Genomic DNA, 24,714 nt, shown 5'->3' with positions numbered 1-24,714 from the left:
TGTCTTACACACATACACACACAAATGAGTACAAGTAATGCTGGAGATATCTGAGTGAAATCAGTGGCTTGTATCAATGCCCATATCCTAGTTGTGTTATTGTACTGTAGTTTTGCAAAATGTTACCATTAGAGGAAATGAAATATCTGAAAGGAAGGTACATGAAATCTCTGTATTATTTATTACAACTTCATGTGAATCTACAATTATCTAAATAAAAATTTCAATTTATAAAAAGCTACTTTATATACCAGAAAATATAATATTGAACCTCAATATTATGATAATTGCAAAGCTTGATGTATTGTTTGTTGTGGGAAATGCAATTAACTCAGAGAATAACACCCATTCAATGACTCACTTTAACAAAAATAATTATAGAAAAATATTGAAAATGGATAGAAAAAAGCTATATGAGGCAAACACTAACCAAAATTAAAAAATGTATAGCAGGCCAGGTGCGGTGGTGCATGCCTGTAATCCCAGCTTTCTGGGAGGTCAAGGTGGGCAGATCGCTTTAGCTCAGGAGTTTGAGACCAGTCTGGGCAACATGATGAAACCAACTCTCTACAAAAAGTATAAAAATTAGCCGGGGGTGGTGGCATATGCCTGTGGTCCCAGCTACTTGGGAGGGTGAGGGGGGAGGATGGCTTGAACCCAGGAGGCAGAGGTTGCAGTGAGCTGAGATCATGCCACTGCACTCCAGCCTGGGTGACAGAGCCAGACCCTGACTCAGAAAAAAAAAAAGGTATAGCAATATTTATATCAGACAAAACAATCATTATTATGAATGCATGTTATTATTATAAAAAGGATTATTAATGATAAAAGAAAAATTTATCTGGAATGTTTAACAATTCTAAACTTGTCTTACTTAACCAACATGGCCTTGAACAATCTAGAGCAAAAATTAAGGATAGAGAAAATGACAATTCATAGTCTTAGTTCTGGAGGTTTTCCTTAAAGCACTTTTCTTAGTAACTGATACATTAAGAAGCCAAAAATTTTTGTAAGTGGAATATTTGAACAACATATGAAACCCATCAATTAGACATCACACATTATTATAAGAAAACATGGAACATTTATAAAAATCAGTCTTGTATTAGCTTACCAAGGAAGGCCTAAATATCAAAGAATTGATACTTTAGAGCAAGGGCTAGCCATCAATGATATCAGTAGGCCAAATCCAACCTGCTGTTTTTGCAAATAAAGTTTTATTGGCACACAGCCATGTCCATTTATTGACATATTATCTGTGGCTGCTTTCACAGTACAATGGCAGAGTTGAGTAGTTGTAACAAAGAATATATGACACATAAAGCTTAAAATATTTACTATATGGCCTTTTATGGAAAAATTGCTAACCCCTACCATGAAGAATAGGTTATTAGAACACAGTGCAGTGTTAGAAATCAATAACACACACAGAGAAACAAATGTTTAGAAATTAAAACCCATACTTTGAAATAATTCAGAGGTCAAAGAAGAAAGTCTAAATGGAACTTAAAGAATGTATCAATATCTAACATTGAAAATGTACATTTCAAAATGTGAGACACAGGAAAACAAGACGTCAGAGAGAAATTTAGCCTTGAAAATGTTAATATTTATAAGAAAGATGTAAAATTAATGCACCAAGTATTCAACTCGAGAAGCTAGGAAAGGATGGCCAGTTGATTTTGGACAAGAGCACCAAGACAATTCCATGGAGAAAAACTAGTCTTTTCTACAAATGGTCCTAGGACAGTTAGATGTTTACATACTAAAGAGTGAAGTTGGAGCCCTACCTCACACCATATACAAAAATTAACTAAAAATGGATCAAAGACCTAGATATAAGAGCTAAAACTATAAAACTGTCAGAATAAAACATACGTATAAATCTTTGTGATCTTGAATTAGGCTATGGTTTCTTAGATATGACACCAAAAGCACAAGCAACAAAAGAAGATCATAGATAAATTGGACTTCATTAAAAACATTTGTGCTTCAAAGGACACTATTATAAAAGTGAAAAGACAACCTACAGAATGGAAGAAAGATTTGGAAATTATATATCTGACAAGAGCCTGGTATTTAGAATATATAAAGACTAATTATAACACAACAATAAAAGAGCCTCATGCCTGTAATCCCAGCACTTTGGGAGGCCGAGGCGGGCAGATCACGAGGTCAGGAGATCGAGACCATCCTGGCTAACATGGTGAAACCCCATCTCTACTAAAAATACAAAAAATTAGCTGGGTGTGGTGGTGGGCACCTGTAGTCCCAGCTACTCAGGAGGCTGAGGCAGGAGAATGGCATGAACCCGGGAGGCAGAGGTTGCAGTGAGCCGAGATCGTGCCACTGTACTCCAGCCTGGGCAACAGAGCAAGACTCCGTCTCAAAAAAAAAAAAAAGAAAAAAAAAAGGAAATGAATAAATAATTTGAATAGATATTTCTCTGAAGAAGATACACAAATGACCACCAAGTACGTGGAAGAGATGTTCAACATCATTAGTCATTGGGGAAATGAAAATCAAAACCAAAATGAGATTCCGCTTCACACCATTAGGATGACTATAATAAAAAAGATTGACAATCACAAGTGTTGACGAGGATGTGGAGACATTGGAACCCTGGTGTATTTCTGGTGAGAATGTAAAATGGTGCCACTGTTTTGAAAAACAGTCTGGTAGTTTCTCAAAAGGTTCAACATAGAGTTACCATATGACCCAGCAATTCCACCCCAGGCATGTACCCAAGAGAAATGAAAAAACTATGTCCACAAAAATGTGTATATGAATGTTCATAGAAGCGTTATTCCTAACAGCCAAAAAGTGGAAATAACCTAAATGTCCACCCACTGAAGAACAGATAAACAAAATGTGGTATGTGCATACAATGGAATACTACTCAGCCATAAAATGAAGAACTGATTCATACTACAACATGAGTGATCCTTGAAAACATGCCAAGTGAAAGAAGCCAGACACAAAAGGCCACATGTGGTGTGATTCCATCTCTAGGAAATGTCCAGAATAGGCAAATTCATAGAAACAAAGTTGATTACTGGTTGCCAAGGTCTCGGGAAAGGGAGAGATGGGGAGTGACTGTTAATGAGTACAAAGTTTCTCTTTGGAATGATGAAAATACTGTAGAATTAGATAATGGTGATGGTTTCACAACTTTGTGAAAATACTAAAAGCCACTGAATGGTATACTTTAAAAGGCTAAATAGGGTGTGTGAATTCTATCTCAATTTTTTTAAATAAGAGAGAAAAGAAGCTAGGAAGGAAATGTCAGGATAAAACAAGTGAAAATAGAAGGAAGTAATAAAGTAAATAACATTAATGTAATAAAGAAAAGTGAAAAGAATTGGCCAGGCACGGTGGCTTACACCTGTAATCCCAGCACTTTGGGAGGCCTAGGCGGGTGGATCACTTGAGGTCAGGAGTTCGAGACCAGCCTGGTCAACATGATGAAACCCCATCTCTAGTAAAATACAAAAATTAGCCAGGCATGATGGCTTCCGCCTGTTATACCAACTACTCGGGAGGCTGAAGCAGGAGAATCGCTTGAACCCGGGAGGTGGAAGTTGCAGTGAGCCGAGATTGCGCCACTGCAACCTGGGTGATAGAGTGAGACTCTGTCTCAATAAACAAACAAACAAACAAAAACAAAGAAAAGAGTCTGCAAAAACAAAACCTGATTTTTAGGGGAAAAAGTATAAAAACTAGAGTGAAAATGCTCCAAGTTAGAATAATGAGGGATTCTAAGCAAGCCAACTGAAAACAAAATTTTAAATTATCTGACTGGTGAATGAAATGCATGCGGATTCAGTGACTGGTGTCCATGGATTTCAGCGTTCTATTCCACCTACCTACCTCTGCCATTGTGGGAGGCCCAACGCGTGGACTCAGAACCTTCCATCGAACCTCCTTGTGTTTGCCACACTCCTGTCTTAAGGGTACAGATGCCAAGAGTTGGGGGTTTTATGAGGGTCTGCTTTTCCCACGGTTTTTCTTATAAATAATTTTTCCAGTTTCACAGACAGGTTCACTCTCCTTGTTGTACTGGCCAAATTATTTCAAAATATGCAACACTGACCATATTGGATCAAGGCAAGAGATTGACCCAGTTTGTTCCCCAAATGCTTGTGACTCTGAGCAGAAAGTGCACCCCAACCTCAGCCCCACCCAAAGAGCTGTGAGGTATCCCTGCCCATTTGATTCTGTGGCCCCATGTGACCTCTCTCAAGGCCTCAGACAAGCCAAACCCACTCCCATCATAGCCCGGTACATTTACTACATGTACTCTTACCCCATCTGGAAAACTGCCACCCAGGGCTTCCAAACCCTGAACTGATGAAATAGCCCCTTTGGAACATGTTTTAACACCCCCTTTTTGGAATTGTGGATAATACAACCTCAGCCATAATTCACAGGAGGAACCAAAGGGCAAAATCAATATTAACCTGACTGTGTTGCAGATGGCCGGGAGAATACCACACTCCTGCACAGCCCTGGGACCTTGCATGCCGCAGCCAAGACCTTCTCTCCCCGGGTCCGAAGAGCCACAACCTCAAGGACAGAGAGGATATGGCCTGGAGGAGTCATCCCCTACGTCATTGGAGGGAACTTCACTGGTCAGTAGCCACAGACAAGGTCTGCTTTGGGTCAGGGTGCTTTGTCTCCCTGGGTTGAGAGAGTCCTTCTAGGAAGGACCCGGGTGGGATGGAGCAGATGTTAGGGACCACAGCAGGCCTACAGATGATGCCCCCCTCTTGCCGGCAAGTCCTGGCCCACCAGTCCTGGGGAAATTGCAGTCTCTGTTGGAGCTATGTCCTCAAAGTTGGTTACCTTGCTCCCCGATGCTTCATGTGGGGAGTGACCTGGAAGGACCTTGACGGATAAGTGGGGTTTGCATGATGACTGTTTGAGGACAAGCCCTCCGCATAGAAGAAAGTCCCTGAGCAACTGCACATGGTTGGCTTCCCTGTCCTCTGCCTGGATGAGCGTCCTGGACTCAGAGGTCCCCTGCCACCACCTACAAGCAGTGTTCCACTCAGTGACCAAAGGGACCAGTGGACATGGCTCGACTCCCTGGGTCCAAATCTCAGCTCCAGCACTTGCCAGCAAAATGCCCTGGGGAAATTAGCCTCTCTGTGCCTCAGTTCCCTCTTCTGTAAATGGGGATGATAATATCTTCTACCCCATCTGGTTGTTTTGAGAATCAAATGGGTTACTATAGATAAAGCGCTTAGAGTGGTGCCTGGCACACAGTAATTAGTATGTATCTGATATTAATATTATCTTTAAAATATGTGAATCATCCCCAGCTTCCCATTGCCACTAGAATGAAATTCCTGACCATGGGCCTGTAATGCCCTCCCTCAAGTACCCCACTGTCCCTCTCCTGCCTGGCCTTTGACCCTCTCTACCCTTCTCCCATCCTTCATCCCTAAGCTCTGGCCTCACCAGCCATGTGCCCATCCCAAGACGTGCCCCCCTCATAGGCCCCTGAGCACTCACACTTGAACTTGCCTTCTGTCTCCCTTGGAGGCCCTTTCCCCAGGTCTTTGCATGGCTGTCTTCTTCTTATCATTTGAGTCTTATGTCAAGGGACACATCACAGGAAGGCCTTCTGCCCTCCCCCCACCAGCGCCTCCCTGTCCCCAGACCCTGCTTTATAACATTGGCAGCACTTACCGTGACCTGAACTCTTTACTTCTATTTCTGTTTCATTTATTTTTGTCTCTGTCTAAGCTCTGTGGGAGCAGCAGTCTTTTTTCTGTCTCATTTCTGCTTCCGTATCTCCAACACCTAGAGCAGGGCGCGGCACATCCTAGGCAGGTAGCAAATATGCCCACTGCGTACCTGCGGCCAATGTCAATGGAAAGCCTGAGTGACAAGCCATACCGAGAGACTTTCCTGGGCTCTCAGTGCAACTTATAAGTCCTTCCCCTCCCTGTGGCTCTGTGACCTCTACTCTGAGAGGTGGCTGATGAAGGCAGATTCCCTGAGGATTTGCCAAAGCCACTGAGAATCGCTGATGAGTAAGTTAGGGAACGGTGAAGACCTCAGCAGCAGGGCAGCGGAATTCCTGCAGTTCCCTTTCGCTCCCGCAGCATTAACCCACGGCTTCCTAGTGCCAGGTGCTTAATTAGGGATTGGTGGTAAAAAAGATGACTAAGATTTCATCCTGCCTTCAAGGAGGTCTGTTCTCACAGCAGAGAAAGGTGAGTGCCTAAAGAAAAAAAATAGAAATTATAAACCACTACAGACTTTTGTTCCTTGGTATCCTAACTGTGTTCTTTCAGATCTGGTGTGCTTTTCTGACCAAAGATTTATATTACTTTCATCAAAGTTAACTAATTTTATATATAGGAATTTTGTTGACACAAGTATTTCATGTTATTAGATAATTAGTAGGGTTGCTATTTTTGGTGAGCGATTGAGCTATAAACAATTTGAACAAAAAATGTCAAGATGTCAGAAAAAAAATGGACAGTTAAGTTATTCTATTTTTTGTTGTTGTTGTTTGTTTCTTCTTTCTTTCTTTTATTTTTTTGAGACAGGGTCTTACTCTGTTGCCCAGGCTGCAGTGCAGTGGCATGATCACGTCTCACTGCAGCCTCAACCTTCCAGGCTCAAGCGATCCTCCCACTTCAGCCTCCTGAGTAGCTGAGACTACAGGCGTGTGCCACCAAGCCCAGCTAATTTTTTCTTCTTAAGTGTTTGTAGAGACAGGGTTTCACCATGTTGCCCAGGCTGGTCTCAAACTCCTGAGCTTAAGGGATCCACCTGCCTTGGCCTTCCAAAGTGCTGGGATTACAGACATGAATCACCATGCCCAGCTGTTATTCTTTATTCTATATGAATGTTTTTGGGGACAACAATATGATACCATCCCCACATCCTGCAGACAATGATGGGAGCCTCCCCCAGTGCTGTTGTGCTAGTCCATTTGTGTTGCTCTAAAGGAATACCTGAGGCTGGGTAGTTTCTAAGGAAAAGAAGTTTGTTTTGGCTCACGGCTCTGTAGGCTGTCTGAGAAGCATGGTGGCAGCATATCTGCTCCTGGTGAGGCCTCAGGAAGCTTGCAATCATGGCGGAAGGCAACAGGAAGCCAGAACATCACATGGTGGGAGGGAGCAAGAGAGAGGTGGGGTAGGTACCACACACTTTTAAACAACCAAATCTCTCATGAACTCAGAGCGAGAGCTCATTCACCAAGGGGATGGCACTAAGCCCTTCTTGAGGGACCCATCCCCATGACCCAAACACCTCCCACCAGGCCCACCTCCAACACTGGGATTATGTTTCAAAACGAGATCTGAAGGGGACAAACATCCAAGTGATGTCAGCTGTTTTGTTTTGCTTGTAATTTTTGTTTTTGTTTTGCAATGAGGGCCCTGTAGAACTCAGACCTCCAACTCCCACCATCCTTCATACTTCCCAGACAACTATTTTTTCCTAGATCCTTCTCATTGCTTCTAGGAAAATTTAAACAGTCTTCCTTCTAGATTTTGAAAAGAACTGACTGACTATACGTAACTGTCAGCCTGGAGTTTTATTATTCAGCAAATTTCCACTCAAGGAAATACCAAGACAGGTTCAGAGAAAGTATGAAGTTCACCTATTTTCAAAGGCCTGGAAGAAAAATTAGGCTCAAGGATTCCCCACAAGACACTGAAACCCCGTGCAAAAGTACACAGATGTACATGCAAATAGAAATTTTAAAGTGCATGGGAGCACCCCCCTACAGGTCTAAAAGAAAATGAGGGGGCGAAGTGCAGTGCTGGTGAGCTGGAGTTGACTCCCCCCTACTTCAAAAGCCTGCAGTTTCCAAATCGAAAAACCTGGATAAGGTTTTGTAAAAGTTTGGAAAATACTTTCAATACAAAGGAAAATTTGGGAAGCCCAGGATATTTTGAAAATCTATTTTTACCCTCCCTTCCAATCCACAAACTCCTACTCTCTAGGTTTTGGCAGCTCAGAAAAGTTACGTTGTGTTTTTAGCAAGGGAAATCCTGATTCCTGAAAATTCCTGGAGTATTTCTATTCTGAACAAGCTTTTTTTTTTTTTGAAAATATTTAATTGACAAATAAAAATTGTATATATTCAAGGTATACAACATGAAGATTTGATATATTATGTCTCGATCACCATAATCAAATTAATTAGCACATCCATCACCACCCATGCTTACATTGGGGGCTGGTGAGGACACAAAATCTGTTCTTTTATCAAATTTCAAGTAAACAATACAGTATTATTAACAATCTTTTTTTTTAATTGTTGGAACATCCTTTGTCTTAACTCAGCATGCTTTAAAGCATCTAAGGAGGCTGGGTGCCGTGGCTCATGCATGTAATCCCAGCACTTTGGGAGGCTGAGGCTGGCGGATCACCTGAGGTCAGGAGTCAAGACTAGCCTGACCAACATGGAGAAACCCCATCTCTACTAAAAATACAAAATTAGCCGGGCGTGGTGGCACATGCCTATAATTTCAGCTACTGGGGAGGCTGAGGCAGGAGAATCGCTTGAACCCAGGAGGCAGAAGTTGCAGTGAGCCGAGATCGCACTATTGCACTCCAGCCTGGGCAACAAAGGCAAAACTCCGTCTTGAAAGAAAAAAAAAAGCATCTAAAGAAAATATGGACCCATCATTGAAGTCGAGTGCTTGCCCTGTTGTTTCAGGGAGCCAGAGGGCCATTTTTAAGCAGGCCATGAGACACTGGGAGAAGCACACCTGTGTGACCTTCATAGAAAGGACGGATGAGGAAAGCTTTATTGTATTCAGTTACAGAACCTGTGGGTAAGTAAACGAAAGCGAGGCCACCTCTGCAGAATCAGTCGGATGGCTCATGAGTGTTGAATTTTCTCTGTAAACCTAAGTATTTCCAATGAGCTGTTATTTAGAGGAGTCCAGGGTTTGCTAGAAACTTTCTGCCCTTGGTGAAATTACAATCCAGTGGCAAAGCTGATGGGCCAAGAGGAAGATTCCAGGAGACTCCATGAAGACCAGGGGTACTGGCACTAGAAGAGCAACAGAAGGAACTGGTGGTGTGTCATGTGAAGACTTAAGGCAGTGGTTCTTAACCTCTTGGGGTTTGTGTCCCCATTTAGAATCTGATGAAGCGGTGGGCTTTCCTTCTTCAAGAATAGATGAATATGTATGTAAAATTTTGCATTTAATTTGAGGGATTCTACAGGTTTACAAACTTCCTTCAGAAAACATAATATGTAATAAAATGACTGGCTTATGACTAAAGTTATCTGTTATGTCAATAAATATGTATGATATACTTTCCTACTGAAAAGCTTCTCATGTTGGATCAAAAACCCAAACCCGGCCAGGAGCGGTGAGTCACGCCTGTAATCCCAGCAGTTTGGGAGGCTGAGGTGGGCAGATCACCTTAGGTCGGGAGTTCCAGACCAGCCTGACCAACAATGGTGAAACCCCATCTCTACTAAAAATACAAAATTAGCCAGGTGTGGTGGCACATGCCTGTAATCCCAGCTACCTGGGAGGCTGAGACAGGAGAATCGCTTGGAGCTGGGAGGCAGAGATTGCAGTGAGCCGAGATCCCGCCATTGCACTCCAGCCTGGGCAACAAGAGCAAAACTGCATCTCAGAAAGAAAACAAAACAAAACAACAACAACAAAAAAAACCAAACCCAACTACATGGTCTATACATAAGATGATTACTGAATAAAACAACCTAGAGAGGTTTAAAAGTAAAAGGAAAGAAGCCATACAGGTAAATGCTAACAAAAAGAAAGCTGGGATCACAATTTTAGTCATTGACTAGGTTTTCATTGTTTTGTTGTTTTTGTTTTTAAAGTCAGAAAATGTTAAAAGCTGAGACACTTTATAATGAGAAAGGGTATAAGGGACAGTGAGAATATAACTGTCATAAGTCTTCATGCACCAAATAGCATAGCATCAAGAGTCATAAAACAAGCCCCAGGGAATTCAAGGGGAAATTGACAGAAATGCTCAGTAGCACGAGACTTAATTCATTTCTGTCAGCCCAAGTAAGTCAGTGTCACGTTGACCAAAAAATAAGTAGAGATTCACAGAGGATTTGAAAAATACAGTTAATAGAGTTGATTCTATAGGTCTATCAGATTCTATAACCTCATAACACATTTTTTTAAATGGCCCATCTATTAAGCATTAAGAACATCTTAACAAATTCTTAAAGGCAGAAATAGCATTAAGATATTTTCTGATTGCAAAGCAGTGAAACTGGACATAACATAATAACAAAAATAGAATAAACATTAGCTGGTAAGTTAAAAGTCCCCCCATGCTTCCATTTTTATGGCTCTTAGGTCATAAAAACAGCAAGATTAAAATTGCAGAATGTCTAGGTAATGAAAGCCCTATGGTTCAAAATAAAAGAGATATAGCTAAAGCTATGTCTGGACAAAAGCCCACAGACTTAAGTATCCACATCACCCGTTGACAATAGTGACAATGAAATATTCAATTCAAAGAAGCTAGTAAAAATAAATACTTACAACCCACCACCATCACCACAACAAAATAAACCTAAGGAGAGCACAAGGAAACAGACAAGGTGAAACATTACAGAGCTAACAAATTCAAGAGTAAATTATTTGAATAAACAAACAAACAGAAAACAACAGATAAACCACTTGTTAGTTTAATTGAGACAAAATATGATTACATAGAAATACATAAGATTAGAAATGAAAATGGGAGAAATAGCCACAGATTCAGCAGAATCACAAAGGAGTAGTTTGCAAAACTCTAGGGCAAGAAGTGTGAAAATGTGGATAATGTGAAAGTCTTCAAGGTAAAAATAAAGTACTGGTACAGACCAAGAACTTTGAATGAAATTGAAGAACGGAGGGAAAAAGCCATCTCCCACAAAGCACCAGACCCAGAGTTTCACAGGTGAATTCTTTCAAAACTTCAAAAACAGATTATTCTGGTATACTTAAACTTTTTAGAGCATAGAGAAAGATGAACGCTTTCAAATTACTTTTGAGGAACTGTTATGGCATTGCTACCTTGAAATGAAAAGGATGGCACCAAATAAATAGAGAAAGAAAGGAAAACATGATAAAAAAGATAAGAAAGAAAAAATTATAGACTCATCTCACATGTGAATAGCCATGCAAAATCCTAAATAAAATGTTAGCACATAGAATTCGGCAGCAGAAGAAAAGAAGAGGAGACTGCCAAATACATTTATCTAGGGAATACAAGATTAGTTCAACATTAGGAAATCTATTCTCAAGATTGATTGGTCAAAGAAGAGAAGCTATATTCATATCTCAATAGATGCTAAAAGGCACCTGTACAATACAACATGCAGTTTTTGTTTTAAAAAAGTAACCAAGGTAGCACAGAAATAGATGTCAAGGATAGATTCTTGCATTATATATATGTAAGTATAAATATACATTTATATAAATAACTTCCAACCAAAAGCCAATATCATGTTTATCGATGATACTTCTAGAAGCATTTAATTTTAGTTAAAATCATGAACAAGTTTAAGATGTTTAGGGTTACCACAATTATTTAGCATTGTTTTGGAATTGCTAATTAATATAAATTAGACAAGAGAAAGAAAGAAAAACTGTGAATATTGGCAGGAACAAGGCAATGTTTGCACTGATGGGAGGTAAAGTGACTGTGTGCCTAGAAACCCCAGAATATCAATTGAAAAGCTGTTAGAAACACAAGGAGACTCTATTAAGTGACCACAAAATTAATTAATTAACAAGAATAGGTGACTGCTTTTCTTTATACATGAAATAGTTTGATACACTTTTATGATGGGAAAAAATCACAACTTTAATAGAAACATAATAGATACTATATCTAAGACTAAACATAAATGTGCCAGACCTATAGGAAGAAAATGCTAAAACTCCAAGGAACCTAAAAAAAAAAAGTAAAAATAGAAAGCATATTGCTTCCTGATGTAGGGATACTCAACATAGTAAAGATGTCAGAACTCCCTAAAATAAGCTGTACATTCATGCCTTTCTGATTTAAACACCAACATTTATAGATATATACGTACATGTGTATGTATGCATACATATTTTTAGAACTTGAACAAATGATACTAGAGTTTATCTGGAGGAACAACCATGTAGAAATAATGAGAGAGAGAGAGAGAGAGAGAGAGAGAGAGAGAAAACAGTAATGACAGAGGTAGCTATCTAATGGTCTAACCAAACATGCAGAATATTAAAATGCAAAAGGAAGATAATAACAAAACAGTTTGGAACTTAAGGGAAAAATAGATATATACAAAAAAGGGTCCAAAATGAATATACCTATACACAAATTTGGGTAACATTTTAAATGAGTGGGAGAAAGATCAATTAGTCAATTGGGATATTTGAATATTGGGATAATTTAGATAACTCTCTGTGAAAAAAAAAAAAGCTGGACTCCTACCTCACTTCTTATACCGATAACTATTCTAGCTAGATCAAAGATGTAAGTATTAAAGAAAAAAATGGAAGAAAGAAAGAAAAAATCGAAGAGTATAGGAAGGAAACAAGAGTAGATTTTATTTATAATCTTGAAATATGGATGACCTTTCTAAGCAGCACATAAGAAAATGAATACATTTTGTAATACTAACATTAAAAACTTTTATAATGCAAAAAAAACAAAACAATACATAAAAACAAAGTCAAATGAGAACTAACAAAGTGAGCAAAATACTTGCAACACTCTTGACTAGTTTCCCTAATTTACAAAGGGTTCTTAAATATCAATCATAAAAAAATGGACAACCCAAAAGAAAACAGGGAAAAGAGGTGATCACATAATTCACAGAAAAAAAAATGTCGCTTAAAATATGTGAAAAACTATCCAGCCTCAATGCAGTGAAATCCCATTTTTTACCTATCCAATTGGCAAAATAGTTTGATAAAACCAGTGTTGGCCAGGATGAGGGAAATAGGACTTAAACATTTGTTTAAGCTTCTGTGAGTAAACAGTAGGTGTATATATTTGTTGGGTACCCGAGATGTTTTGATACAGGCATGCAACGTGAAATAATCACATCATGGAGAATGGGGTATCCCTCCCCTCAAGCATTTATCCTTTGTCTTACAAACAATCCAGTTACACTCTTTTAGTTGTTTTTAAATGTACAATTGACTTATTATTGACTATAGTCACTCTGTTTTTTTGGTCAAATAGTATATCTTATTCATGCTTTCATTTTTTTTTCTTTACCCATTAACCATCTCCACCTTCCCCACCAGTCCCCCACTACCCTTCCAGCCTCCAGTAACCATCCTTCTAGTCTCTATCTGCATGAGTTCAATTGTTTTAATTTTTAGCTACCACAAATAAGTGAGAACATATGATGTTTGTCTTTCTGTGCCTGGCGTATTTCACTTAACATAATGATCTCCAGTTCCATTCCTGTTGTTGCAAATGACAGGATCTCATTCTTTTTTAGGCTGAATAGTACTTCATTGTGTACTTGTACATATTTTCTGTGTGTACACATTTTCTTTATCCATTCAACTGCTGATGGACACTTAGGTTGCTTCCAAATCTTAGCTATCATGAACAGTGCTGCAACAAACATGAGAGTGTGGATATCTCTTCAATAGACTGACTTCCTTTCTTTCAGGTAAAGAGAAAGGGGCTTTTAATATCTTACTAGTGAGTATATAAACAGACAACATTTTGGGAGTGCAATTTGACAGTATCTATCAAAATTTCAAATGCACATATCCTTTTACCCATGAATCCCATTGGTAGAAATTTACACTACCATTTCTTTGTTTCATTTGCTGTTGTTTTTATTTGTTTTGCTTGTCATCCTCTCCCCCGAGGCCTTGTTAAAATAGCAAAAACTGGAGTTACAGCCGAGATGTACATTAATAGAAGACTGATGAAATAAATTTTAGTATTACAAAAATGTATATAAGTATTATTTGAAAAAAATGATTGTGCCCAGAAGGGAGTCATCTCTAAGGCTCCTCTGATAATGACACCAAGTTGCATGCATTATAGACACTCATCTGCCTCCTTCCCGTGACTCTTCTCCTTTTCATTAAAAATGGCCCAGCAGGGACTCCAGCACCTTGCAGGTGGAGGGGTAGAGTATGGTATGGACTTTATGTCAGAGAGAGACCGTATCTTTTGTTGGCTTTTCAAGAAGATTCATAACCACAAAAAGCTCAAGAACCATTTTTGGAGGGAATTTCTGCATTGGGTCATTGGGTGGGAAGTTGGACAATGAGAGCACTTTCACTTCTGAAATTCTGTTTCTTTTCTTTTTTTTTTTTTTTTTTGAGACGGTGTTTCACTCTTGTTATCTAGGCTGGAGTGCAGTGGCGTGATCTTGGCTCACTGCAACCTCTGCCTCCGGGGTTCAAGCAGTTCTCCTGCCTCAACCTCCCAAGTAGCTGGGATTACAGGCACACACCATCACATCTGGCTAATTTTTATATTTTCAGTAGAGACAGGGTTTCACCATGTTGGCCAGGCAGGTCTCAAACTCCTGACCTCAGGTGATCCGCCCACCTCGGCCTCCCAAAGTTCTGGGATTACAGGCGTAAGCCACTGCACCCGGCCTGAAATTCTGTTCTTTTACATGCACACACGCACACACATACAGAGTGGGAGGGGGGACTTGCCTCTTGCTCTGAATGTCTTCTGACCTGCTGACCTGGGTATTCCTGCAATTGTCCAGCTGTTGCTCCTATGTTGGGCGCCGAGGAGGAGGCCCACAGGCCATATCCATTGGGAAGAACTGTGACAAGTTTGGCATTGTGGCTCACGAGCTGGGCCATGTGGTTGGGTTTTGGCATGAACACACCCGGCCAGACAGAGACCAACATGTCACCATCATCAGGGAAAACATCCAGCCAGGTAAGGAGGCCTGTGTGGAGTCTGGAAGGCACCGGTCGAGAAGGTGGCAACCTCAGGGACAGGAGGGAGGGAAGGAGGGGACTTGCTGGGAGCTGAGCAATGCTAACTGCTGAATATGGAGCAATGACTCTGTTGTACAGGCCCGTCTCACCAGTCTGACCACTGTCCATCTGTGGCTTCCTGGGAGGTCATCTGCCATAGCTTGTAGGTTGGAGCAGAAGCAAAATGATTTTCCATGTTTTAAAGGACATTGAAATCTAACTCCATTTCCTGAAAGGAACACAGTCGACCAGAACACTGTTACAGCATCAGAGCTGATAAGCCAAAAAAAAAAAAAAAAGAGTTCTCCTGGCTGCTTTTATGAGTTATTTTTGCTGACTTAGGCAACATATTTTCTGAAACTGAAATACAATTAGGACATGAACACATGTAAAAACAGTGTTTCTGCCTAGAAACATTCTGCCCCAAGGCAGATAAAGTGTCTAGATTAAAAAAAAATACTCTCTTATGTCAAATAATTTTATATGGAAGTTAATATTGAGCATGAAAAGTAGCTAGTTGAAGAATATGATTGCCTTACAAATGCTTTAGAGAATCTGAATTGTGAGCTATTTAGGATTGAACTTAACTCTCTGATTCATTTTCTTTTGTTTCTTCAAATTGCAAGATCAGGTTTTTGTTTGTTTGTTTTGTTTTTTTTGTTTGTTTTTTGAGACAGAGTCTCACTCTTGCTGCCCAGGCTGGAGTGCAGTGGCGTGATCTTGGCTCACTGCAACCTCCGCCTCCTGGGTTCAAGGGATTCTCCTGCCTCAGCCTCCTAAGTAGCTGGGATTACAGGCACCCACCACCACGCCCAGCTAATTTTTGTACTTTTTTTTTTTTTTTGAGACAGAGTCTTGCTCTGTCACCCAGGCTGGAGTGCAGTGGTGCGATCTTGGCTCACTGCAAGCTCCGTCTCCCGGGTTCACACCATTCTCCTGCCTCAGCCTCCCAAGTAGCAGGGACTACAGGCACCCGCCACCATGCCCGGCTAATTTTTGTATTTTTAGTAGAGACGGTGTTTCGCCATGTTGGCCAGGCTGGTCTCGAACTCCTGACCTCAGGCGATCCACCCGCCTTGGCCTCCCAAAGTGCTGGAATTACAGGTGTGAGCCATGGCACCTGGCCCAGAGTTTTTTATTTTTATTTTTTATTTTTTGCGGGGGCAAGCAAGTTGATAACTAATCTGTCTGCAAACTTACTTTAAGAGGTTTGAGTGGCATTTGGGGATAGGTCTTGGGTGGTGGGGTTGGGAGAACACAGGGCTTGCTGGAGGTTTCAAATTTCTAATTATTAAAAACAACAAGAACCACTACAAGCCCTGTTATTTGACTGATTGGGCCAAGAGAGCCCTGGGAAGTTGTTATGGGCCCTCCTTCTCCTTCCTCTGCCTCCTTTCAGGTGCCTGACTTGGTTTTCAAAGGGCTTAACACAGTGTTGTGTCACAGGTCAGGAGTATAATTTCTTAAAAATGGAAGCTGGGGAAGTGAGCTCTCTGGGAGAGACATACGACTTTGACAGCATCATGCACTACGCCCGGAACACCTTCTCAAGGTCGGAATCTATGCTTATGCCTCGTCTGTGTTTTACTGTGCCTGCGGCAGGCTTGGGTTGGATTCCTGGAGGTCTGCGGAGAGTGGGTCTCTGCATGCTTCTAGCACGGCTGGCCTGTCTGTCCTTGAAATACAGTGGCCTCTGCGCTGCAGTGAAATATAATCTAATCAGGTTCCCGTTAATAAGATTGAATCCCATTGTGAAGCTAGCATTCCATCATGCCCTAATGTCACAAGCAGCAAACTGGAAAAGGGAAATTATCGAGAGGTTGGCTGGGATAATAACTTAGAGGCTCTGTGTCAAATTTCCAGTGGGTGGGGGGAGTCTTTTGTAGAAGCATGGTGGTGCTCACCAATTCTCCTAGCAGAGGTTTGGTTTATTGGAAACTAGGCTGTGTCAAGGCTGGGAGGGCTGTAAATCATCGATTCATTTTAGAGGTGAAGACAATGAGGCTCCAGCCAGCTCTCAGATGGACAGGTAGCTGAGGACTGGAGTGAGAGCAAGGATCCAGGTTCCCACCTGCAGGTCACAGATGATGGAAGCCGCTGTATTCAAGTAGGGCTGGGCCGTTTATTTATGGCTGGCATGGGCAGGGTCTGTTCTGATGAGCTGTTCTGATGTGCTGCGCCTAGCAGACATTAAAGATTTTCAGTATTTTCCCTGCTTCTAGACCCTGTAAGTGCTTTGTGTGCAGAAGTTTTTCCCTACTTGTCCCAGTTTTGTAGTTCTTTCTAGCGTTGAGTTAAAGGAGTCACAGAGAACAAATATTTTCTCTCTTGGTACTTTCTCTTCAGTCTCCTGTTAAAACCAGCTGTTTGCTTGTTTATTTATTTAGTCTTCCCCCAAAAGGATCTGTGGTGACTTCCAATATACACATGAGATAAAAATGATAAATAATAGGTGAGAAAACTGGGGGAAAGGAGAAGGAAAAATATGGCTAGAAAGCTAAGTTGAGGCCCAGAATAAGTTTAGTGCTCAGAGTTATATGCTGTGAGGTCATGTACACTTGGTTAGAGTTGGCAGCAAATCCTGCCCTGTGCTTCCTAGCAGTCACAGCAAAGAGGGAAATAATCCATTCCATGAGTCTCCATGTCCATAAAGATGAAAGGAATTCATTTGCTCAGAAAACATATGGCTCTTGGGAGTGAAAGGGACACTGTTTGCCAGGGGCTCCTTGGTTCTTGGGTAAGGCTGCCAAAAGCATCCTGTTGATGAGTTTGTTGATAGGACTATGGGAGAAATCCTCTAAATCTCAGCATCCCAAGTTCTCAGGGGGTACTGCTCCTCTGGCCACACAGCTGCTTAAGTCATGATCTCTATCCTGCACCTAGACATGAGCTATCATGGGTGGAGTTGTGTTAAAGCTGGCATCTTCGACAGCACTTGGGAGTAGCGTGAAATTGAGCCTTCCTGGCCTCTTTGACCTTCTCCTGGCTCTTTTCCAAAGATAGTAAAAGAAACATGGTGTGATGAAGAGACCACTGAACTGAGAGGCAGAAGCCGGGTTCTAGTCATAGTTCTCCTGTGACCCCTTGCCTTTGAGGGAGGCAGACAGTAATTAGGGGCAGCTGTGTGATGGTTAAATCTCCACCTCCACAGGCCTTGGTTTCCTTGTGAGAGGGTTGGACTAGATGTTCTCTGAGCCCCTTCCAGCTCTAACCTTTCAAGTTGCAATTTCTCAATCCGATGCAGATGGGTGAGGGGTTGACAGATTATGATCTCATTCACTGCCATACAGGAAATCTGAAGCTGGAAGGGCCTCCTCTTCCAGATTAGGAAACTGAGACATTGAGGGATCCACCCTGAGGCTGTGTGCAGGGAATCTCAGGACGCCAGTGCAGTGTGCAAATATCCAAGGGGGAGGCAATGCTTGGGTCTTGGGGTGGGCTGATTCACCTGTTTGGGAAATGGTGCAGGGAATAGCCAAAGGCCCACCCCATCATCCAGGAGTTACAGGCTGCTACTAGAGACCAAGTATCAATTTTGTCAGGGAATCTATGTCAAGTTGGCCCAAGGGAGAAGCTTTTTCCTTGGGTCTTGTTTCTGTAGCTGCCATAACTCTTCATATTGCTTTTTAATTTATCTATTAATAATTATTAATTTATATATTCATATTAATTTATATATTCAATTTATATATTCATATAATTTATATATTCAAATGAAATCAATATTCATTTAATTTAGCTATTAATAATTATTATTTTATAAATTCATATATTAATTTATATATTTATATATACATATATATTCATATATATATTCATATACATTCATATGTATCTGTTGTATTCCCTTCTCTGGCAGTAGACTGAGATCCTTGAGGACAGAGACTATCTCATTCTCTTCTAGTCCCCAGCACCCAACATAGTGCCTGGCACCTAGTAGGTATTCAATAGACATTTGCTAAATGAATAAATTAATGAATGAGTTCAAAGGGGCCAGGAGGACCTGCAATGTTGGGGAATAGGTGAGGGTAGAAATTTCCATTATGCTCATTACAGTTCTTTCCATGTGCTCACCAATGCGATGGCTACTTTAGTAAGGTGAATCTGTAAGTCTGTACCATGTAGGGCATTTGTGTGCTGTAGGGACTGCACTGCCTTCTCACCGCCTGCTCCGTGCCAGGCACTGCACAAGCTCTGGAGCCAGAGGCCAGGACAGGATGCAGGCAGAGGATCTTCCAGCACCAGCGTTTCTTCTTGTCTTTCTTTTTGAAATATATATATGTATTTTTTTTTCTAGGATTGCTAGCTCATAATACCATGCCTTTTGTCCCTCAGGGGATAACCATTTCTAATGCTATTGTCAATGTGAACCATCAGCCCAGACCAGTGGAAATCCATGGGCCAAACCCATGAAATAAAAATTCCTCATCAAAATTCCCCAGAATCTCTAGGAGGGAGATCAGCAGGGGCAGCACACAGGAGGATGGGCAGCTAGGAGCAGAGCAGCTCGCCGAGGGCAGGCAGCCCCTCCTGCTAGTGTTACATTAGCTACTGCTGCAGAGCAATTGACCCCCAAGCTTAGTGACTTAAAACAGCAGCTTATTATTTTTGATGATACTGTGGGTTAGTTAGTCAGGCTTGTTCTTCTCTGGTCTTTCCTGGGATCACTCACAGCAACAGTCATCTGACAGATTGATTGGGCTGGGGAGTCCAGAATGACCAGTCACACGCCTGGCACTTGGTGCTGCCTGTTCATGCCCCTCTGTTCTCTCTGGGAGCCCCTTGGTTCTCCTTCATGTGGCGTCTCATCCTCCAGTAGGCTAGACCAGGCTTTACACTGCATGGGGACTCACAGTTCCAAGAGAGCAAGCGGGGAAGCTGCAAGCCTCTTAAGGCCCCAGCTCTGGAACTTGCATGACATCACTTCTGCCACATTCTGTTGGTCAAAGCAAGCCACAAGGCCAGCCCCAAACTCAAGCAAGTGGAGAAATAGACTCCACCTCTTACTGGGAGGTATGGAAGCTTCACATTGCAGTAGGATTTGGCTATTAGGAGGAGTGACTTTTTATTTTAACAATCTGCCACTGCTGCCTTGTCACCTCTGCCCCAGAGTTCAGAATGGTTTCAGCAAATCTGTTTTGTTGCAGGTGGATGACTGCATTGTCCTTTCTGCCAACTTTTTACCTGGATTTTCGGAAAACAATTTTGTTCACTGGGTTTTTACTGGGAGCTTTTCTATGAGCATTTTGTCAATAGTTTCCCCGCTCCCAACTCCATGTCATTACTTCTGGTCACAAAGACCCTAAAGCTGGCCTGTACCTCATGTTGGATTCTGTAAAAGGGCAGAATAGAGCCCATGGAACATATGCTGATCTGGGGAGGTGGGCAAATGCTATACCCTGCTGATGGGAAACTCAATCCTTGTGTCTCTTTACGATTGAGCTGTCTCCTTCCAACTTCATTCTCTCTAGTTTATTGCAGTTCTTCTCCCCTCCCCCTTGGTTGGACCCAGGCTGTGGGGAGCGGTCTCTTTGGAGGTTTTGCTGGGCAAAGATCCAGGAGATGAGGAGACAGTTCTCTTGTACAGGGGCCTCTTTGTTTCAGAACTCAGAACTGACAGTTTTATTCCCTGAGGCATCTGCTGAACTCTGTCTTAGTTTAGCAGAATGTCAATGCTAAGAGTTGTCCTACATGAAAGAGGGAAGGAACGTCACCGCTGTGGTTTACACAGGGGACGGCTCTTGTAGTAAACAGCTGGAAGCTCTTGCTGGCAGCTTAGGATACGCAAGGGAGGACGTCCAGCACCAAAGAGCGGTCTGAGTGTGAGCCAATGTTGTTCCTGATGTTTTGGTTTTTGAAGTCTGCAATGTTCTTAGCTCTATAATTTAATGTATCATAAGGCCTACTGTTCCTTGGGCAGCAGGAAACACTGGCTGGAAGGAGGAGGATTCCCAGAGGTGAGCTCCTGGCCTGCCTCTCCATGACTACCTCTGTGCCCTGGGAAAGTCACTTAAGCTCTGCAGGCTCAGTCTTCTCCCCTGTAGAGTGAGAGCTCTTGTGATAATGGCACCTGACTCCTAGGGTGTTATGAAGATGAAATGAGTTGGTGCAAGGAAAGTGCCCAGTGCAGGGCCTGGCACATCGGAAAGTCCTATGAATGATGAGTAAGTGCAAGAACATGGCCTCTATGCCCCAGGCCCGCTGGCAAAGTCATCTACGTGATGTGGCCAGGTAGCGTGGGGTGCTTATAGACTGTGTGATCCTTATGCTTGTGCTGCAGAATTCCTTTCTGCAAGGGAACCAAGAAAATAATTACAAAAGGACACACCTTTCGTTAGGGCAGAAGTGCCTGTTTTTGGAGTAGCTAATGATTGAATTTAGGATTTTCTGCAGAGTCATCACTTGTGGTTTAAAATGTGGTAAAGTCAGTGAGGGAGGCCAAGGATTCCACTAAAGTTTCTCTGCAGGAGTCCAGACTCAAAAATGAGGCTATGGGAGCTAGAGAAAGACAGGTCAAGGGTTACATGTTGGGTACAGAGATGCTGAACAGGAAATCAGCAGATGATCTATACTCCCACAGGCTAAGGTTGGAAAGTGAGCTTGAAATCTGATTTAGAAAAAAAAAGTCTGCACAAAAACAAAAAGATAACAAAGTGATGTAACCAGGAAGAACCAGGGGTAATAGGTATTTTCTAATGTAGTGCAGAATTTAGGGAAATAGAAACAGTGCTTGAGAGAGACAGAGAGAGAGAGAGAGAGAGAGAGAGACAGAGAGAGACAGAGAGAGAGAGCATGCACAGCTAATAGCTAGGTGACATATGTACATTTTCACTTCCATTTTGGATGTAAATAACTATTTTGCAAAGTTTTTAAAAGACAGTGCTTTATCCTGATTGCATATTTAATTCAAGAAGCATTTTTTGAGGTCTGCTGTGCTGTAGTTTCTAAGGACAGAGATAAAACACCCAGTCTCCCTGCTTGAGGAACTTACTTTTAGCAAAGAAGACAAATACCATCACTCCTTAAGAAAAACAATACAGTATGATAAGAAGAGACTACACAAATGATTAAGACCCAGAGCAGGGAATGATAAACTCCAGATGGGAGGAGTAGAAAAGGCTTGGGGAAGACTTTTAATAGAGAAAGACATCTGATGGGGTTTTGGAGAATGAATAGGAGTTTGCAAACAGACAAAAAAACAGAGGGCATGGGCAGCCTAGGGAGCGGATAGCATGTGCAAGGGCATATTTGAGGCCTACAAGGAGCTCAGTGTTGCTTAAAATAATGACATATGCTTTATTCTTGTTAAGTATTCTTTTGGTTATGGGATTAAAGAGTCAGGCTGGAGAGGAAGGCAGAAGTCAGTGAGCAAACAGCCTAGAGATCCAAGTGGTGACTGGAAGTTGGTGAAGCGTTCTAAGCAAAAAAGGCACGTGCCTCCCCTTGCATTCTGGGATGATTCCATTGCAGCATTGTGGCCAAGGGGAGCAGTAGAGTAGAAGTGGCTGAGTCTACAGGGAGGGAGGCCAGTTAAGAAGCTACTGGAAAGAGTTCAAGAATGGGGTGTTGATCACTTGAGCTATGGCAATGGTCTGGGAACAAGGAGGAGGGTATGGGTTCAAGGGGTGCAAAAAAGGTAGAGTGGACAGGACCTGGCTCCTGGTTTGGTAGGAGAGTATGAGGGAGAGGGAGGAGCTGAGAATGCCCTCAGATTCAGGCTCAGGAGACAAGGATCATGGAGTGAGCAGGAGAAGGATGGAATTGTGATAAATTTGGTTTTGAGCACGTTGGATATAAGAGGCCCATAGGACAGCCCAGGGGAGGTGTTACGAGGCATCTGGGGCTCAGCAGAGGATCCTGGGCTGGAAACAGAGGATTAGCTGTGAGGCTGCAGATGATGGTTAAAAGCCGTAGGAGCAGATGGAATATGGAGAGAGAGGACAGAGGGAGAGGGCAGAAACCCAAGGGGCATCACTGAAGGGGAAGCAGAAGTGGTTCTTGTCTCACTGCTCAGAGAGAGCCATGGCCTGGACCCAGGGAGAAGACAGTGAGGAGGGAGGAGGGCATCGGAGGTCAGTGCTGGAGAGAGGGCAGACGGAGATTGGAAGCTGTCTACTGGCAGATGAGTGGTGACCGTTGCTGATGGGGTCAGATCACAGGTGGATTGAGAAGTGAATCAGAGGTGAGCAGTTGGGGAATGGAGACAATACTTTATAGAAACTTGGTTAAGAAGGGAAGGAAAAAAACAAGGTGGTGACTGGAGGAGATGCTGATTCAAGGAGAGGCCTAACATCCAGGAGAGGCCCCAGATAGAGGGTCTGGAAGCAGAAGAGGAGGCTCAGAGCTGGCAGCAGACAAGGCAGCAGGCGGGATGTAAACCATGCCCACAACAGGGCCAGCGCTCAGCTGGCAACCTGATTTCCACTTGTCTAGTTTAGAAATGAAGCTGTCATTTTAGATTTCAGTCAAATAGGAGTAGAATAAGATGTTAGAGATAGAAGGGGCTGCCATGACCATCTCAACAAATTTCTTATTGTTTAGTGGGGTAAACTGAGACTTAGAGAGGCTCAGAGAGGGGAAGGGTCTTGTCCAAGCACACACAGGCCTAGTGTAGAAATCTCTAGTCCAGGGCTTTTTTCACTACTTCTTGTTCTCTGCATTTATCTCATTTTCCATCTGATTTCCCTCTTACCAGCAGGGCCTCCAAACTGGGACCACCAATTCATCAACCTGCACTTGCTGACCAGCCCCTGAGAGTCTCACATTGGACCAGTTCCCAAGCTCTCCCTGGGGTGGCTCCAGGACTTAACTACACACAGTACTTCCCAATGCACAGCTGCAGGGGGCGCCATTCACACCGTGGTCTCTCCGGGGTCTGGACCTGTCAGGGCTTCATGAAAATGCTCAGGACACATCCCTAAGGAAGCCCCTGGGCTACCGCACTAGGGCATATTTTTACACTTGGCAGAGTCATCTTCCCACTGGAAAGCGAGTAGGCAGCTGATGAGATGGAATGTGAAAATGCTAGCATGAGCGAAGGAAACCTCTTCAGTCATGCCAGCCTGGGAGAGGCTGGCCAGGGGGCAGGAATGTTGATGGGGTTATGGGCAAGGGAATGAAGCCTAGAAATCCCAGCACAGACAGCCTGATGGCCTTGACTTTTCTTTTTCTGTCTTTTTTCCTTCCTGTAGAGGAGTTTTCTTAGACACCATCCTTCCCCGTCAAGATGACAATGGCGTCAGGCCAACCATTGGCCAGCGCGTGCGGCTCAGTCAGGGAGACATAGCTCAAGCCCGGAAGCTGTACAAATGCCCAGGTAACTATGAGCCGTGGGGACTGCCAGCACCTCCCTAGCATCTCCAAAGCACAGTCCCTATGCTGGGAAAACAACTTGGGGGACCTAAAGGGACTATTCCTTGGCAGCTTTAATTTCTGGTGTCCTTCTGGTAGGAGGTGCTAGGCAGTATAGAAAGGTGAAATGGTGACATGGTGGCAGGCAGTGAAGAGAATAATAGGTCTTAGAGTCCATTGGCAATTTCATGAGAGGCTTCAGACTTCTCTGGCAAAGCCTTTGTGTCCAGAAGGGGAAGAAGGCATAACAGAACAACAGTAAATAGGGGTGTAATGCAGTGTGTGCCCCATAACAGTAAGAGCACCTCTCCTTTCTCTGGGACTAGGGGATGTGGGTTTGGGAAAACAAGAACCAAGCTGGATTTTGCAGGAAGACAAAGAGTGAGGGAGAATGCTTTTGGGAGGATGGAAGTCAGTTTCCCAAATGCTACAA

At 42.5% G+C, this 24,714-nt stretch overlaps 1 protein-coding gene across 1 annotated transcript in view; it reads left to right on the top strand.

The window, feature by feature from the left end:
• Positions 1-24,714, top strand: part of TLL2 (tolloid like 2) — a 149,319-nt gene that overhangs the window by 76,489 nt on the left and 48,116 nt on the right. The window contains exons 4-8 of the mRNA NM_012465.4: positions 4,476-4,631; positions 8,690-8,807; positions 14,711-14,889; positions 16,377-16,482; positions 24,122-24,246. Coding sequence (NP_036597.1) covers positions 4,476-4,631; positions 8,690-8,807; positions 14,711-14,889; positions 16,377-16,482; positions 24,122-24,246 — 684 coding nt within the window. The remainder of the gene's footprint in view (positions 1-4,475; positions 4,632-8,689; positions 8,808-14,710; positions 14,890-16,376; positions 16,483-24,121; positions 24,247-24,714) is intronic.

Source organism: Homo sapiens, chromosome 10 (genome assembly GCF_000001405.40).
Source record: "Homo sapiens chromosome 10, GRCh38.p14 Primary Assembly".
Taxonomy (NCBI): domain Eukaryota; kingdom Metazoa; phylum Chordata; class Mammalia; order Primates; family Hominidae; genus Homo; species Homo sapiens.
This window is presented reverse-complemented; position numbering and strand designations above follow the sequence as displayed.